A 15,140-nucleotide genomic window follows, 5' to 3' on the forward strand; every position below is an offset into this window, starting at 1 on the left:
CCATGCTGCAGTCCTCAGAAAGGGAAAGGGGTCAAGGACAAGCAGTGTCTTTTCAGAAGCGTCCTGGGAGCTCAGGTCCACACTGGCCAGTGTGGGACCTCTCACACTGGCCAGTGAGAGAGGCTGGCCTTGTAGTCACCAGTGCGTGGCCAGTCAAACCCAGGGGGCTTCAATTCCAAAAGAAAAAAGGGAACTGGATGACAGGGAACCAGCAGCAGTGGCTGCCACAGACAGCTCTGCCGAGCTGGGAGGAAGCTGGAGGAGCGGAGCGGGCAGAGGGGCAGAGGGAGTGGTCAAGAGAGACGCTGAGGTCCCAACAGTAAGAGATTGTACTAGAGGGAGATCTCAGAGAAGGTGGGCACTGTAGGGCACAGACGGAGACCTTGGCCTTGGACAGGACGAAGGCGGGAAGCAGGAAAGAATGGAAAATAGCAGGAGGTTTGCAGGTCTGGCAGCCACCAGTAACAGCCATTTTCTGTGTAAGATAGGAATCCGAGTCTTCTGCTGTGATTGAGTGGGAGGGGGAGTGGCTTGGTGTCTGAGAAGGGGGACAGTTTGAAACAGTCCTTGCTAAGAGGGGTGATCAGGAACCTACTTGCTGGTGGTGGGACGCCACCCTGGGAATCTCACCAAAGCTTGGCAGGATTGAGGGGCAGGTGAAGTTGGTTACCATGGTATATCATAGCCCTGACCTTGGGGGCTGGAAGATTTCAGTTAGGGATGCAAAGCAATTCAAGTAAAAGTTTTGAGAAAGTAGACAACTGAGTTTCTCCAAAGTCCCTATGAGGACAGAAATGAGGATGCTTTCACTGGAGCGATGACACAATTATTTCAGTAAGTCTCCCAGAGTGCGGTAGAAGAAAACGCTTTGTGTTTGCAATAATAGATCTGGGGAAAAGGACTGATGAGAACCAACATTTCCATGAAGTCACACTGACATTTTTTATTCGTTAGACTTTGTCAACCAACGCATGCACTTTTCTGAACAGCAAGCATCATTCACGAATGCAGAACAAAAACAGATAGGTTTTATTGGTTTCAGAAAGACATGGCGAGATGAGCAGCAGGCAGCTTGCTCGTTCCATGCAGTGGAGGAGGAAGAGGCTGGGCCCCTGCTGTGTGGGGGCAGCCCGGGAAGGACATGGTCACCAGCCTTGGGTCATCAGTAATTAGTGAGCGTCACGGGTAAAGAGTTTTATAGTCAGTAATAGTTTTCTGTAAATGAAAATTGCTTCTCCTCACTGGGCAATTTAGTTATATCTAAGTTAATCCAGGAAAGTCTTATTCATATTAACTATGACACATATGAGTCAATGAGTGTCACCCGGAGACTTAAAGAGGAACTGGTGTCCTTTCAGTTCTAGAACAGCTGGCTGCAGTGGCCGGGTGTTTGGAGGTTGTTTATGCTGTTTCAGCCATCTCCAGGAGAGGCTAACGGGTAACTGGTGGTAGGATTGGAGTCAGGGGCGCTATCTTCCACCGGCCTTTCTCCTCCCAGATTGAACCAAGTTCATCAACTACATGTCATGTACAGCTGGAAGGGTTTCCTTTCCCTCATGGGCAACTTGTTTACTCATTTAGTTTCCACATAGAACCGGGTTCTGAAGAAGTGATTATTACAGTCACGGCAATAACTTTAATGATGACAACGACTTTTTCCTTCAATTAGGTCCCCACTGAGGTCTTTGGTAATTTTCCACAGGGAGATTAGTAAGGGAGAGGAAAATTTTCACCTGCTTGTAAAATGTATTCTGAAGTCTGAATATCTTCATGAATTTAAGCCTGTATTTTGCAGCATGTGGGTTTTCCCAGAAAGGCTTAGAACAGCAACAACAAAAATGTTGCCTTTTGAAGCCCGGTAGAACATATGCTATTTAAATTTAGACCAAGCTGGAGAATGATTGTCCACATACTCCAGTGGCAGCAGGTGCTCCTGGGCATCCCTACATGGCGACTGGGCACCCCTGCAAGGCGTCCCCAGGAGACGCACATGAGCAGTTTACTCCCCAGCTCTGCCCTGTCTTTTGTCCTCAGCTGGGCCATTTATTGATGATAATAGCACCGTGCATTTATGTAGTAACTTAGAATTCCATCACAGTGCCACAGCAGTGTAGGATATTTGTGTCGGGGGAAAAATATGACATTCACCATTTTACTATGGATGCAGTGACCCCAGCCATTCATTTCTTGGGGAGAATTAAGTGAACTGCATCAAGTCTCCGAGCAGGGAATGGAAAATGAGTATCAGTGGAGTGTGAGTTAATCTATTTGCCAGACGCTGTGTATTTCACTGGCTGCATTAACAGTACACATGAGTCACAAATACCATAGAGATAGATGCAGATTTTTTTTCTTTTTTGGAGATGGAGTCTTGCTCTGTCACCCAGGCTGGAGTGCAGTGGCACAATCTTGGCTCACTACAACCTCTGACTCCCGAGTTCAAGCAATTCTCCTGCCTCAGCCTCCCAGGTAGCTGGGATTACAGGCGTGCGCCACCACACCCAGCTAATTTTTGTGTTTTTAGTAGAGACGGGGTTTCACCATGTTGGCCAGGCTCGTCTTGAACTCCTGACCTCAAGTGATCCTCCCGCCTCGGCCTCCCAAAGTGCTGGGATTACAGGTGTGAGCCATTGCACCTGGCCTCTGTCTACTCTCTTAACTGTTCTGAGCCAACTTCCACCAGCTTTGCCCAGGGAGAGCCACACCTGTCTCAAGCCATGCAGGGGTACAGATCAATCAGTGTCAACTCCTGCCCAGCCTAGAGTTGTGGGGAGATATAGCCCAGGGTCTACCTTTGACTAGTGGTGGACAGGAGCTAGTAGATACACTGTTTTGCCATCTTTCCCCAGGAGAACAGTTCTGAGACTATTTTCATAAGGTTTCTCTGAGGGTCCTGGCAAACGGATCCGCCTGGCCAATTCAGTAACAATCTTTGTACTGGCTTTTATGACCATATCTCCCACCCTGACTTCTGCTTGCTGGGCTTACACCCCCATCTACTCTGCCTTCAGCAGCCTTTCTAGGCTCTGCCTAGACAGAGAGTCACTTTAAGAAAAAATCCACTTAATTGCTACTTCTAACAACACTTTAATTTCCTACCCACAAAAATTAAATTTTAATATTTCATAATGAGCTCATCAATTATGCTTCACTGTCTCATAATAACACCCGCTGGAATTTTGCCCGGAATGATTAAATAGCATATCTACCTATGAACCATGCAGGGCAGGGTGGGGCAGTGGAAGGAAGATGGACTTTGAGGTTTCCAGTCCAGCCCCAGTCATTACTAAATATGTGTTCCTGGGCAACTCGCTTAACCTCTCTGAGTCTTTCTCAGCCTCGTGTGTGAAATGGCTGTAATATAATAAAACTAGAGATTAATGACAAATGAAAAGGCAAAAAGACCTTTCACCTGGAAATTTAAAAGCCTCTAATAACTCTTAAGTCAATAAAGAAATATAAAACGAAGTTCAGAATGTCTTGAAAATAAGGATGAGGTTGGGCATGGTGGCTCACACCTGTAATCCCAGCACTTTGGGAGGCTGAGGCAGGCAGATCATGAGGTTAGGGGTTTGAGACCAGCCTGACCAACATGGTGAAACCCCGTCTCTACTAAAAACACAAAAATTAGCCGGGCATGGTGGCAGGCACCTGTAATCTCAGCTACTCAGGAGGCTGAGGCAGGAGAATCGCTTGAACCTGGGAGGTGGAGGTTGCAGTGAGCCAAAATCACGCCATCGTACTCCAGCCTGAGCAACAGAGTGAGACTCCGTCTCAAAAAAAAAAAAATTAGAAAAAAAAAGAAGGATGAAAACACAACACATCAAAATGTGTGTGATGGAAAGCTAAAACTTACAGGAAAATTATAATATTTAATGCTTGTATCAGTAAAAATTTAAAAATAAAAACGAGTGAGTTAAATACCCAACACAAAATAGAAAACAGACATACAAGAGAGGACAAAAGTTTACTCCTTTGAAAATTCAAAGAAAATGGACAACCCTCTGGAAAGATTGCTCAAAGAAAAAAGATTATTTATAAAAACATAAATAAGACTAAGAATGAGAAAAAGACAAAAGTACAAAGTCAGCAAAAATGTAAAATATTTATAGTAAGAGAAGATGATAAAAACTTTAGGCCAGTAAACATGAAAACGTAGGTTAAATGGGTAAAATCATAGAAAAAATTTAAACTTGTCAAAACTAACTAGAGAAGAAATAGAAAGTGTAATGCTCCCTGTTAATGATAGCACAGTCCCAACAAGAATATCAAATTGTTTTTTCTGCAACTGGACAAGTTGATCATAAAAGTCCTTTAGAAGAAGTAAAGAGCAAAGAATTGTCAGGAAAATTCCATCCCAAAAAACAAATGAAATACTTGGGGGTTGGCTAGCCCACTATAGCGCCTCTGTAGTGAAATCTATATGGGCTGGGCACGTGGCTCATGCCTCCAATCTCAGCACTTTGGGAGGCCGAGGTAGGAGGATCACTTGAGCTCAGAAGTTCAAGATCATTCTAGGCAACATAGTGAGTCCTTGTCTCTACTAAAATTTAAAAAAAATTAGCAAGGAGTGGTGGTGCATGTCTGTAGTCCCAGCTACTTGGGAAGCTGAGGTGGGAGGATTGCTTTAGCCTGGGAGATGGAGGCTTCAGTGAGCCCTGATCGTGCCACTGCACTCCAGCCTGGGCAACAGAAGGAGACGCTGTCTCAAAACAACAACAAACAAAAAACCCCAGTATGGTATTGATATGTGCATATATGGACACACAAATCAAACAGAATAGGAAATCCAGAAATAGACCCAACTGAACATAGAAATTCAATATACAATTAAGTTGACATCTCAAACCAGTGGGAAAATTTTAATACATGGTATTAAGATACCCAGAAGGCTACAAAGAAATACAAAATTGAGTCCATTCTTTTTTTTTTTTTTTGAGACGGCGTCTCACTCTGTTGCCAGGCTGGAGTGCAGTGGTGCGATATTGGCTCACTACAACCTCTGCCTCCCAGGTTCAAGCTATTCTCCTGCCTCAGCCTCCGGAGTAACCAGGGTTACAGGCGCCCGCCACCACACCCAGCTAATTTTTGTATTTTTAGTAGAGATGGGGTTTCACCATGTTGGCCAGAATGGTCTCGATCTCTTGACCTCGTGATCCGTCCGACTCGGCCTCCCAAAGTGCTGGAATTACAGATGTGAGCCGCCGCACCTGGACGCATTGAGCCCATTCTTATACCATACAACAGAATAAAGTCCAAATGGATCACATATTTAGATGTAAAATAAGGAAAACATGGAGAAATTACTGTATAACCTACAAATAAAGAAACTTTCCTATGACTCAATTTCCAGAAACAACAAGGAAAAAGATTGATAAATACGTTTACATAAAAATATAAAATTTGGCCGGGCGTGGTGGCTCTTACGTGTAATCTCAGCACTCTGAAAGGCCGAGATGGGTGATCACCTGAGGTCAGGAGTTCAAGACCAGCCTGGCCAACATGGTGAAACCGCATGTCTACTAAAAATACAAAAATTAGCTGTGCGTGGCAGTGTGCGCCTGTAGTCCCAGCTACTCGGCAAGCTGAGGCAGGAAGATTCCTTGAACCCAGGAGGCGGAGGTTGCAGTGAGCCGAGATTTTGCCACTGCACTCCAGCCTGGGCGATAGAGTGAGGCTCTGTCTCAAAAAAAAACATGCTAAGTAAAAAAACAAAGCGAGAAAAACATTTACAAAAGTATCTATATTTTAGGTTAAGCCATTTGAAATTGCTGATATTTGACCATTTTTGACCTAACAAAATGGCAATTTCATAGGCTTCAACTTAGTACCTAATATACAAAGAGCGCCTAAAAAAAATGGGGAATATCTCCATAGAAGAATGCACCAGAGATATGAACCCATCATTTACAAAATAAAAATGCGATGACTTTTAACCATATGACAAGATGCTGAAGCACGCTCTTAAGACTCTATCCCAAAGATACATTGCAAAAATGCTCAAAAGATATATACAAAAGCAGTTTAGTACATCACTGTGTGTAATAGCAAAAGAGTAGAAACAATTCAGACGTCTCAATATCTGAGAGAGTGAGTCCTCCAACTCTGACCTCTTCTCTCCATGATGATCTTGGATATTCTTAGATCTTTGCATTTCCATGTACGTTATTAAATCTGTTTTTCTTTTTTTTTTTTTTTTGAGATGGAGTTTCACTCTTGCCGCCCAGGCTGGAGTGCAATGGCGTGATCTTGAAAAATCTGTTTTTCAACTTACCCAGACACTCAGTCTTATTGAGTTTTGTATTGGGATCAAGTTGAATCTGTAGATCAATTTGGGAAGAACTGGCATCTTTATAAAATTGAGTATTCAAACTATAAACATTGATTTAGACCTACTTTAATTAATCTCAATGTTTTGTAGTTTTCTATGTAGAAATCTTTAAAAATATTTTCTCAGATTTATTATATGTTTTTTGGTTTGTTTGGTTTTTGTTTTTTTCTTTTGAGACATAGTCTCACTCTGTCGCCCAGGCTGGAGTGCAGTGGCGTGATCTCGGCTCACTAAAAACTCCGCCTCCTGGGTTCAAGTGATTCTCCTGCCTCAGCCTCCTGAGTAGCTGGGATTACAGGCGTGCACCACCACACCAGGCTGATTTTTGTATTTTTAGTAGAGACAGGGTTACACCATGTTGGCCAGGCTGCTTTCGAACTCCTGGCCTCAGGCCATCCATCTGCCTCCACCTCATGAAGTGTTGGGATAACAGGTGTGAGCCCACTGGGCCCAGCCTACTCTGTTTTTTATTTTCTTTGAAACTATTATAGGCTGGGCGCAGTGACTCATGCCTGTAATCCCAGCACTTCGGGAGCCCGAAGCAGGATTGCTCGAGCTCGGGAGATCAAGACCAGCCTTAGCAACATGGCAAAACCCAGTCTCTACAATAAAACACAAAAATTATCCAGGCATGGTGGTGCGTGCCTGTAGTCCCAGCTACTCAGGAGGCTGAGATGAGAGGATCACTTAAGCCTGGAAAGCAGAGGTTCCAGTGAGCTGAGATCACACCACAGCACTCCAGCCTGGGTGACAGAGTGAGTAAGACCCTGTCTCAAAAAAAAAAAAAAAGAAAAGAAAAGAAAAGAAACTATTATAATGATATTTTATCTTTAGATTTCATTTTGTATTTGTAACTGGATTTAGAAATATAATTTTTATACACTGACTTTGTATTTGGTAATCTTGGTAAATTCACTTATTAATTCAAATATTTTATCAGTATATTTAAAAGTTTTTTCTTCCCAACCCATCATGAGGTCTATGAATAATGATTGCCTTCTGTTTTTAAAGCAAAATACAGATATGAATCTTCTTATCTTTGTTTTTCTCCACTGACTGCATTGACTAGGACCTACAATATTTACTATAGGATTCTTTTATATACCCTTTATAACATTAAGGAATTATTAGGGAAGTTCCCTTGTATTACTAATTTGTGGAGGTATTCATCGTAAATGGATTTTATTGACTTTTTCTGCACATATTGAGATGAACTTTTCTTTCTTTCTTTCTTTCTTTTTTTTTTTTTTTGAGACAGAGTTTCCCTCTATCACCCAGGCTGGAGAGCAATGGCGTGATCTTCGTTCACTGCAACCTCCACATCCTGGGCTCCTGAGCTCAAGTGACTCTCGTGCCTCAGCCTCCCAAGTAGCTGGGATTACAGACATATGCCACCATGCCCAGCTAATTTTTTTAGTATTTAGTAGAGATGGGGTTTCACCATGTTGGCCAGGCGGGTCTCGAACTCTTGGCCCCAAGTGATCTGCCTGCTTCGGCCTCCCAAAGTGCTGGGATTACAGGCATGAGCCACCTCGCCCAGTTGTTAAAACATCGAGTTTTGGCCAGGTGTGGTGGTTCATGCCTGTAATCCCAGCACTTTGGAAGACTGAGGCGGGTGGATCACGAGGTCAGGAGTTCAAGACCAGACTGGCCAACATGGTGAAACCCCGTATCTACTAAAAATACAAAAATTAGCTGGGCGCAGTGGCAGGTGCCTGTAATCCCAGCTACTTCGGGAGGCTGAGGCAGGAGAATCTCTTGAATCCAGGGGGCGGAGGTTGCAGTGAGCGGAGATCATGCCACTACACTCCAGCCTGGGCGACAGAGTGAGATTCTGTCTCAAAAAAAGAAAGGGTGAGTTTTATACTATGTGACTTACATCTACATTTAAAATTTTGGAAAAAAAATTCTTGTATTCCTTGGATATTTTCAAGACACTGTTATATCAGTTTCCTAGTATTTTATTTATGGTTTTGGCTTATTCACTTACATACACGACTAACCTATACTACTTTTTTTATAATATTATCTTGGCCTTGTTTCAGTATCAAGGTTCTTTTTTTTTTTTTTTTTTTTTTGAGATAGTCTCACTCTGTCACCCAGGCTGGAGTGCAGTGGTGTGATCTCGGCTCACTGCAACCTCTACCTCCTGGGTTCAAGTGATTCTCCTGCCTCAGCCTCCCGCGTAGCTGGGACTACAGGTGCCTGCCATAATGCCTGGCTAATTTTTTGTATTTTTAGTAGAGATGAGGTTTCATCATACTGGCCAGGCTGGTCTTGAACTCCTGACCTTGTGATCCGCCCACCTTGGCCTCCCAAAGTGCTGGGATTACAGGCATGAGCCACCACGTCCAGCCTCTTTTCTTGTTCTCTGGCACAATTTATATAAAATGTCAATGATCTGTTTCTAAAATGTTGGTAAAACTTGCCCATAAATCCATTTGAGCCTGATGCTTTTGGTGATGCTGGGGGATGGGGTACGTCTTTCATCACTCCTTCAATCTCTTTCATTACTACTAAGAGGTCCACACTTTATATTTCTTCTTGAGTTTTACTAACTCATATGCTTGTAGAAAATTGTCAGTTTATCTAACTTTGAAATTTTCTGGCATATTATTTTTCATAATACAATTTGATTTTTAGTATTTTTACATGCACCTGTGAGCGCTTCGATTCTTTTTTCTTTTTTGAGACAGGGTCTTGCTCTGTTACCAAGGCTGGAGTGCAATGGCGTGATCTCGGCTCACTGCAACCTCCACCTCCGGGGTTCAAGCAATTCTCATGCCTCAGCCTTTCGAGTAGCTAGGACCACAGGTGCGCGCCACCATGACTGGCTAATTTTTATATTTTTAGTAGAGATGGGGTTTCTCCATGTTGGCCGGGCTGGTCTCGAACTCCTGACCTCAAGTGATCCGCCTGCCTTAGCATCCCAAAGTGCTGGGATTACTGGGGTTACAGGTGTGAGCCACTGCGACTGGCCTGATTCTTTTTTTTTCTTTTTTTTTTTTTTTGAGACGGAGTCTCACTCTATCACCCAGGCTAGAGTGGAATGGCGTGATCTTGGCTCGCTGCAGCCTCTGCTGCCCGGGTTCAAGCAATTCTTCTGCCTCAGCCTCCCGAGTAGCTGGCATTACAGGCACCTGCCACCGTGCCCGGCTAATTTTAGTATTTTTAGTACAGACGGGGTTTCACCATGTTGGCCAGGCTGGTCTTGAACTCCTGACATCATGATCCACCTGCCTCGGCCTCTCAAAGTGCTGGGATTACAGGCGTGAGCCACCCCTTCCGGCATCCGGCCTGATTCTTAATGTTGTTATTAATGCCTTCTCTTTTTCTCTTCATAACTTTTGCAAGAGAATTATCTCTTTTATTAGACTTCCAACAATTCTTTCTTTGTAATATATGCATTTAAAACAATAAACTTACCTAAAAGTAGCAACTTAGCTGCAAAAAGCTTTGAGATGTTTTTGTTACTCAATTTTAGATATTCCATAATTTTTAGATTTCTTCTTGTATATTTTTACGGTTGTGGAAGTTTTTAAAATCTGCATGAAAAATAACTTCTACAGTGATTACACTGTGTGCACAGTATAAAGTGTAAGTTATATCAGTTCCATGCAATTTACTAAGATATTTTCTGTAGTGAAAATCACAATTTCAATATTAGACGCCACCCATTTTGCTTTGACTCACACTGTTTCTTTAGCGCTGGTCAGCGGATACTGAAATTATCTTCTGTGACTGTGCAAGGCATGAAACGTTTCATGAACCCGCTGGTCATCCTTGCACAGGAGCCAGGGTAACCATCTCTGTTTCGTTCCAATTTTAGAATACAAGCTGCAAAAGCAAGCACTGAGATTCTTTATGGCCTAATAATTGGTCAGTTTTTATAAATGTTCTATATGTGTTTTATGTGCTTGGAAAGGATGCACAGTATGCAGTAAGTACATGGGGTGGCGGAGCGGGGGGTTTGAGACGGAGTCTTACTCTGTTGCCCAGGCTGGAGTGCAGTGGCGCCATCTCGGCTCACTGCAACCTCTGCCTCCTGGGTTCCAGCAATTTTCCTGCCTCAGCCTCCTGAGTAGATGGGACTACAGGCACATGCCACCATGCATGGCTAATTTTTTTGTATTTTTAGTAGAGGTGGGGTTTCACCGTGTTAACCAGGTTGGTCTCCATCTTTTGGCCTTGTGATCCTCCCCTCTTGGCCTCCCAAAGTGCTGGGATTACAGGTGTGAGCCACCGAGCCTGGCTTCTTTTTTTTTTTTTTTTTGAGACAGCGTCTCTCTCTGTCACCCAGGCTGCTGCAGTGCAATGGCATGATCTCCGCTCACTGCAACCTCCACCTCCCGGGTTCAAGCAATTCTCCTGCCTCAGCCTCCCAAGTAGCTGGGATTACAGGCATGAGCCACCATAGCAGGCTAATTTTTGTATTTTTAGCACAGATGGGGTTTCGCCATGTTGGCCAGGCTGGTCTCCAACCCCTGACCTCAAGTGATCCACCTGCCTCGGCCTCCCACAGTGCTGGGATTATAGGTGTGAGCCACCACGCCCGGCCTCTACCTCTTACTTTGAATCAGGAGATCCTGGACTTACATCCTAATTGGGCTTTAGATGTCCAACCCTGCCTGGGACTGGGGGATACTTCTAACCTGAGAGGGAACTTATTTGGCCACAAATCTGAGGTGTGTTCTCCAATTCACTTGATCACAACTAAACCTCATGTTGATATTGCCATATTCCTGACTCTTTGCCTCCTTTGGGATGGAACTTGGAAGAGAAGTTTCACACACTTATTACAAGAAGTTGGAAGTCCTCAACACTTAATGTAAGAAAGGTAATAAAATTCACGTGTGCTGGGAGGTGCCACTCACACAGGCCTACTTTGTACTTCTGCATCAGCCGCGCCTTCATTCCTGGCACCCCCACCCTCCAGAGTCTACACTGATGTCAGCCAGTGAGGCTTCCCCCATCCCCCCTCCCCGCTCAAGTCTCCCCGGTCCACACCTTCTTCATGGGTCCTGGATTTGGAGCTTAGCTAGTGGAGACTACACATTCTTTTCCAGCATACGTAGAATGTTTCTAAAAATTGACTCTATTTTTAGGCTGTAAAGAAATCTCAGTAAATTTCATGGAATTGATATCATACATACCATATTCTCTAAACATTATGTAATTAACTCAGAAGGTTTTTTTTTCTTTTAACAGAGCTTTAGAAAAAAAGACCACAATTCTAATAATATACAAGATAAAATAGAAATAAAAATAGAAATGACTCCTTTGCATCTACTTTCTTGCCATTGTTCTAAGTTTCTGGGAGGCAGGAGAGTGGAGAAGATGATGTGCTGAGGTCCTATCTAGCGCTTAAAATGTTTGACTTTTGGTCAGGCGCAGTGACTCATGCCTGTAATCCCAACACTTTGGGAGGCTAAGGTGGGAGGATCGCTTGAAGCCAGGAGTTTGAGACCAGCCTGGGCAACATTGCCAGACCTCATCTCTACAAAAAATACAAAAATTAGCTGGGCATGATGGCACCTGCCTGTAGTCTCAGCTACTCAGGAGGTCAAGGCAGGAGGATTGCTTGAGTCCAGGAGGTCAAGGCTGCAGTGAGTCATGATCGCACCACTGTGCTCCAACCTGGGCAACAGAGTGAGCAACAGAGTGGGACCCTGTCTCAAAAAAAAAAAAGCTTGACTCTCTCATTTAAATCCTTAAATCATTCACTTGGATGATCTGTTCTTTGGAGATGCTGAGAGCTGTCCCCTCCTGCGTGTGTCTCCCCACGTTTCTCCTGCCGTCTCAGCAGAGCCCTCCTCCCACGTCGCCCCATTACCGCAGCCCACGCAGGGCCGTCAGCTTTGTCAACTTTCGTCTGGCTAATTTCACTGGAGGCGCCTCTTTATTTGGAATTTTTATAAACTTGTTTTGTTCATAGCTTCCGACTCACCATGTATTCCATCCTCCCCCACAGGCCAAATGGAAATGGAGCCTTTTATGAAGTTTCCCTCTTTTTAAGCTGGAAAGTTGGCAGCGACGTCGTTTCGAAATGAGTCGGAAAGTCTGGGTTGGGCTGGCAACATCACCCCTAAGATGAGGGCCGTTTACAAATTTGTTTATAAAAAGTGGGGGAGCTGGAGCTGTGTTTTCTTGGCGCTGTGCTGGAATTCTGACCACTCGAAGATGAGATCTCATTCTAGGAGTGCTTGCTAGTGCCTCCTTCAGGGACCAACCCTGTCAAGTGGGAAGGCATGAAGTTCAAGAAGTCAGCATTCCCAGAGGCAGGTCAGCTTGCTTTCATTCTGTCGTACTCGGTTTCCTTACTTTCCTCCTAACACGTTACCTCTGAAGCAAATGTTCCCGAGCACTGTCCCCTTCTAGAAAGACCTTGTATGAGAACCTTATCTTTGCACAGAGTGTGGAGACCGCCATTAGGGCAGACGGGATGGATTTGACCAACCCAGGTCACAAACCAGTGATGATGGAGAGGAGAATTCCACGAGTTAGCCAGGGCGCAGCGGGACAGAGGGAACCTGGCTCCTTACTTACAACAGCTTCTTGGAGCAAGGAATCTTGGACAAAAAAATAAAAGCATTAGATCGGTTCAAGGCTATTTGTTCAACTCCACATCTAACTCTGCTCTGGGTCCCAGAGACACCAACGTACACAAGATTCACTTCTTATGTCCCAGGAGCCCATGGTCTACCCAGGAAAGCAGAGAGGAGAAAGAAGACCTGTTCTGTGAGGCTGAATAATTGAGCTGTGGGTAGGAACCTGAAGAGAGCAGAGCCAGGGCAGACCCCAAGGAGGGGAACTGAGCTGAGCCTGGCAAGATGAACCCCAGCTTGCCCTCCTCCATTGAGTGTGGTGAGGAGGCCCACAAAGGGCCTAGAAATGTTCATCATGGAGCTTGGGAGAGAGGGAGAGAGGGGCCGCTCAAACTGTGTATGTTGGTATCACCATTATAATTGCCTACACTTTACAAAAAGGCAAAACTGTTCAAAACTGTCACTTTCTGAAAAGGTGACAGAATTCAGAGGTGGAGACTCCACCCAAGTACCGTCAGGCACAGCTGCTGCTGGGAAGCCTCTCCAAAATGAGTTGAAGGCCACAGGCCTTGGATGCTGGGCAGATAGCAGAGACTGCTGGGCACCCCGGTGCCACAGAGTGCAAGAAGGTTCTCCCCCAACAGCCCCTTCCACGAACACCCTGGCACCTGCCCTGCATGGTCCTGCTTCTAGGAACTTTCTTTCTTTTTTTTTTTTTTTTTAGACAGAGTCCTACTCTTGTTGCCCAGGCTGGAGTGCAGTGGCACTGTCTCGGCTCACTGCAACCTCTGCTTCCTGGGTTCAAGCGATTCTCCTGCCTCAGTCTCCCAAGTAGCTGGGATTACAGGTGCCCGCCATCAAGCCCATGTGTCTCTGTGTTGTCATTTAATGTCAGTGCAAGGACTCTGATCAGCTATATTGAAATAATATATTACATATAATAATATTGAAATAGTTATCATGGGAATGTAGAAAATCACTTGTTTTCTTAATCAAAGGTTTAAAATGCTTTTGGAATTATTTTAATAAGTATTATTTTTACCCATTTCAGAGTCTTATAGAGAACAAATCTACAGCAGCCCTGGGGCTCCTCAGGGAGAACAGCGATGGGTATTTTGGGAGGGGCCTCATGGTGGCCCCACAGGCTGAGGAGCGAGCTGTCTGATTAGTGCATTTGGAGAAGGGGTGAGCATTCTCAGCTGAGAGCCTCTTGCTTTTGGGGAGTGTTTTGACTAATAGTGGCCAATTATTCACACCATGATAAAAAATATCAGTCATGATAGATAGCAAGCTCTTCTCGTGTTCACGACTCGGAGTGAGGTAGCGTTCTGATTCTCTTCCCTTTGTTACCAGAAAAGGGTCCCAATCCAGACCCCAAGAGAAGGTTCTTGGATATCACACAAAAAAGAATTCGGGGTGAGTCCATACAGTAAAGTGAAATCAAGTTTATTAGGAAAGTAAAGGAATAAAGAATGGCTGCTCGTGGACTGCTCAGCTACTTGTACTTACTGTTACTTCTTGGTTATGTGCTAAACAAGGGGTGGGTTATTCATGAGTTTTCCAGGAAAGAGGTGGGCATTTCCTGGGACTAAGGGTTCCTCCCCTTTTTAGACCATGAAGGGTAACTTCCTAACATTGCCATGGCATTTGTAAACTGTCATGGCGCTGGCGGGAGGGTCTCTTAGCATGCTAATGCACAAAAATTAATATATAATGAGCCGTGAGGATGACCAGAAATCACTTTCGTCACCATCTTGGTTTTGGTGGGATTCGGCCAGCTTCTTTACAACATGCTATTTTATCAGGAAGGTCTTTGTGACCTGTATCTTGTGCCAACCTCCTATCTCATCCTGTAACTAAGGATGCCTTAACCTCCTGGGAATGCAGCCCAGTAGGTCTCAGCCTTATTTTACCCAGCTCCTGTTCAAGATGGAGTTGCTCTAGTTTGAATGCCTCTGACACCTTGAATTCATTTTTGGGTCTGAAATGGACACTGTGAGCTGGCCAAAGAGGGGAACTGGGTACCTACTTACTGATTGAGTTTCAAAGGAGAGCTCTTAACTTCATGAGAAATGCATCCTAATCTCCCACATTAATGAGATGCTTCCAAGAATGATTATACTCCTTGATTATTGATTAATAGATTGACGCAGCCCAGAATGAGGTCTCTAGGGACACAGTGCAGGGCTCAGATATCTAAGGTCCCGTAACCCCTCTGAGAATGTAGTATCGCAGAAGTGTGTTCTGTTAATCAGGGTGGGCCA

At 44.4% G+C, this 15,140-nt stretch overlaps 1 long non-coding RNA gene and 1 pseudogene across 1 annotated transcript in view, besides 1 other annotated feature; one reads left to right on the plus strand and one right to left on the minus strand.

The window, feature by feature from the left end:
- The window catches only part of LINC03154 (long intergenic non-protein coding RNA 3154), a 37,079-nt gene extending 22,709 nt beyond the window's left edge, over positions 1–14,370 (plus strand). Inside the window, exon 2 of the long non-coding RNA XR_007065454.1 lies at positions 12,303–14,370. This is a non-coding gene — a long non-coding RNA (long intergenic non-protein coding RNA 3154). The remainder of the gene's footprint in view (positions 1–12,302) is intronic.
- Positions 6,247–6,747: an enhancer, noted in NCBI's record as "H3K27ac hESC enhancer chr1:8348386-8348886 (GRCh37/hg19 assembly coordinates)". NCBI's record gives its function as "activates a minimal SCP1, AML or CMV promoter by ChIP-STARR-seq in primed H9 embryonic stem cells {active_cell/tissue: H9 hESC(primed)}" and the evidence as "EXISTENCE:reporter gene assay evidence [ECO:0000049][PMID:30033119]".
- On the minus strand, positions 10,078–10,184 carry RNU6-991P (RNA, U6 small nuclear 991, pseudogene; annotated as a pseudogene).
- Positions 14,371–15,140: the final 770 nt, after the last annotated feature.

This window comes from Homo sapiens, chromosome 1, assembly GCF_000001405.40.
Source record: "Homo sapiens chromosome 1, GRCh38.p14 Primary Assembly".
Classification (NCBI taxonomy): domain Eukaryota; kingdom Metazoa; phylum Chordata; class Mammalia; order Primates; family Hominidae; genus Homo; species Homo sapiens.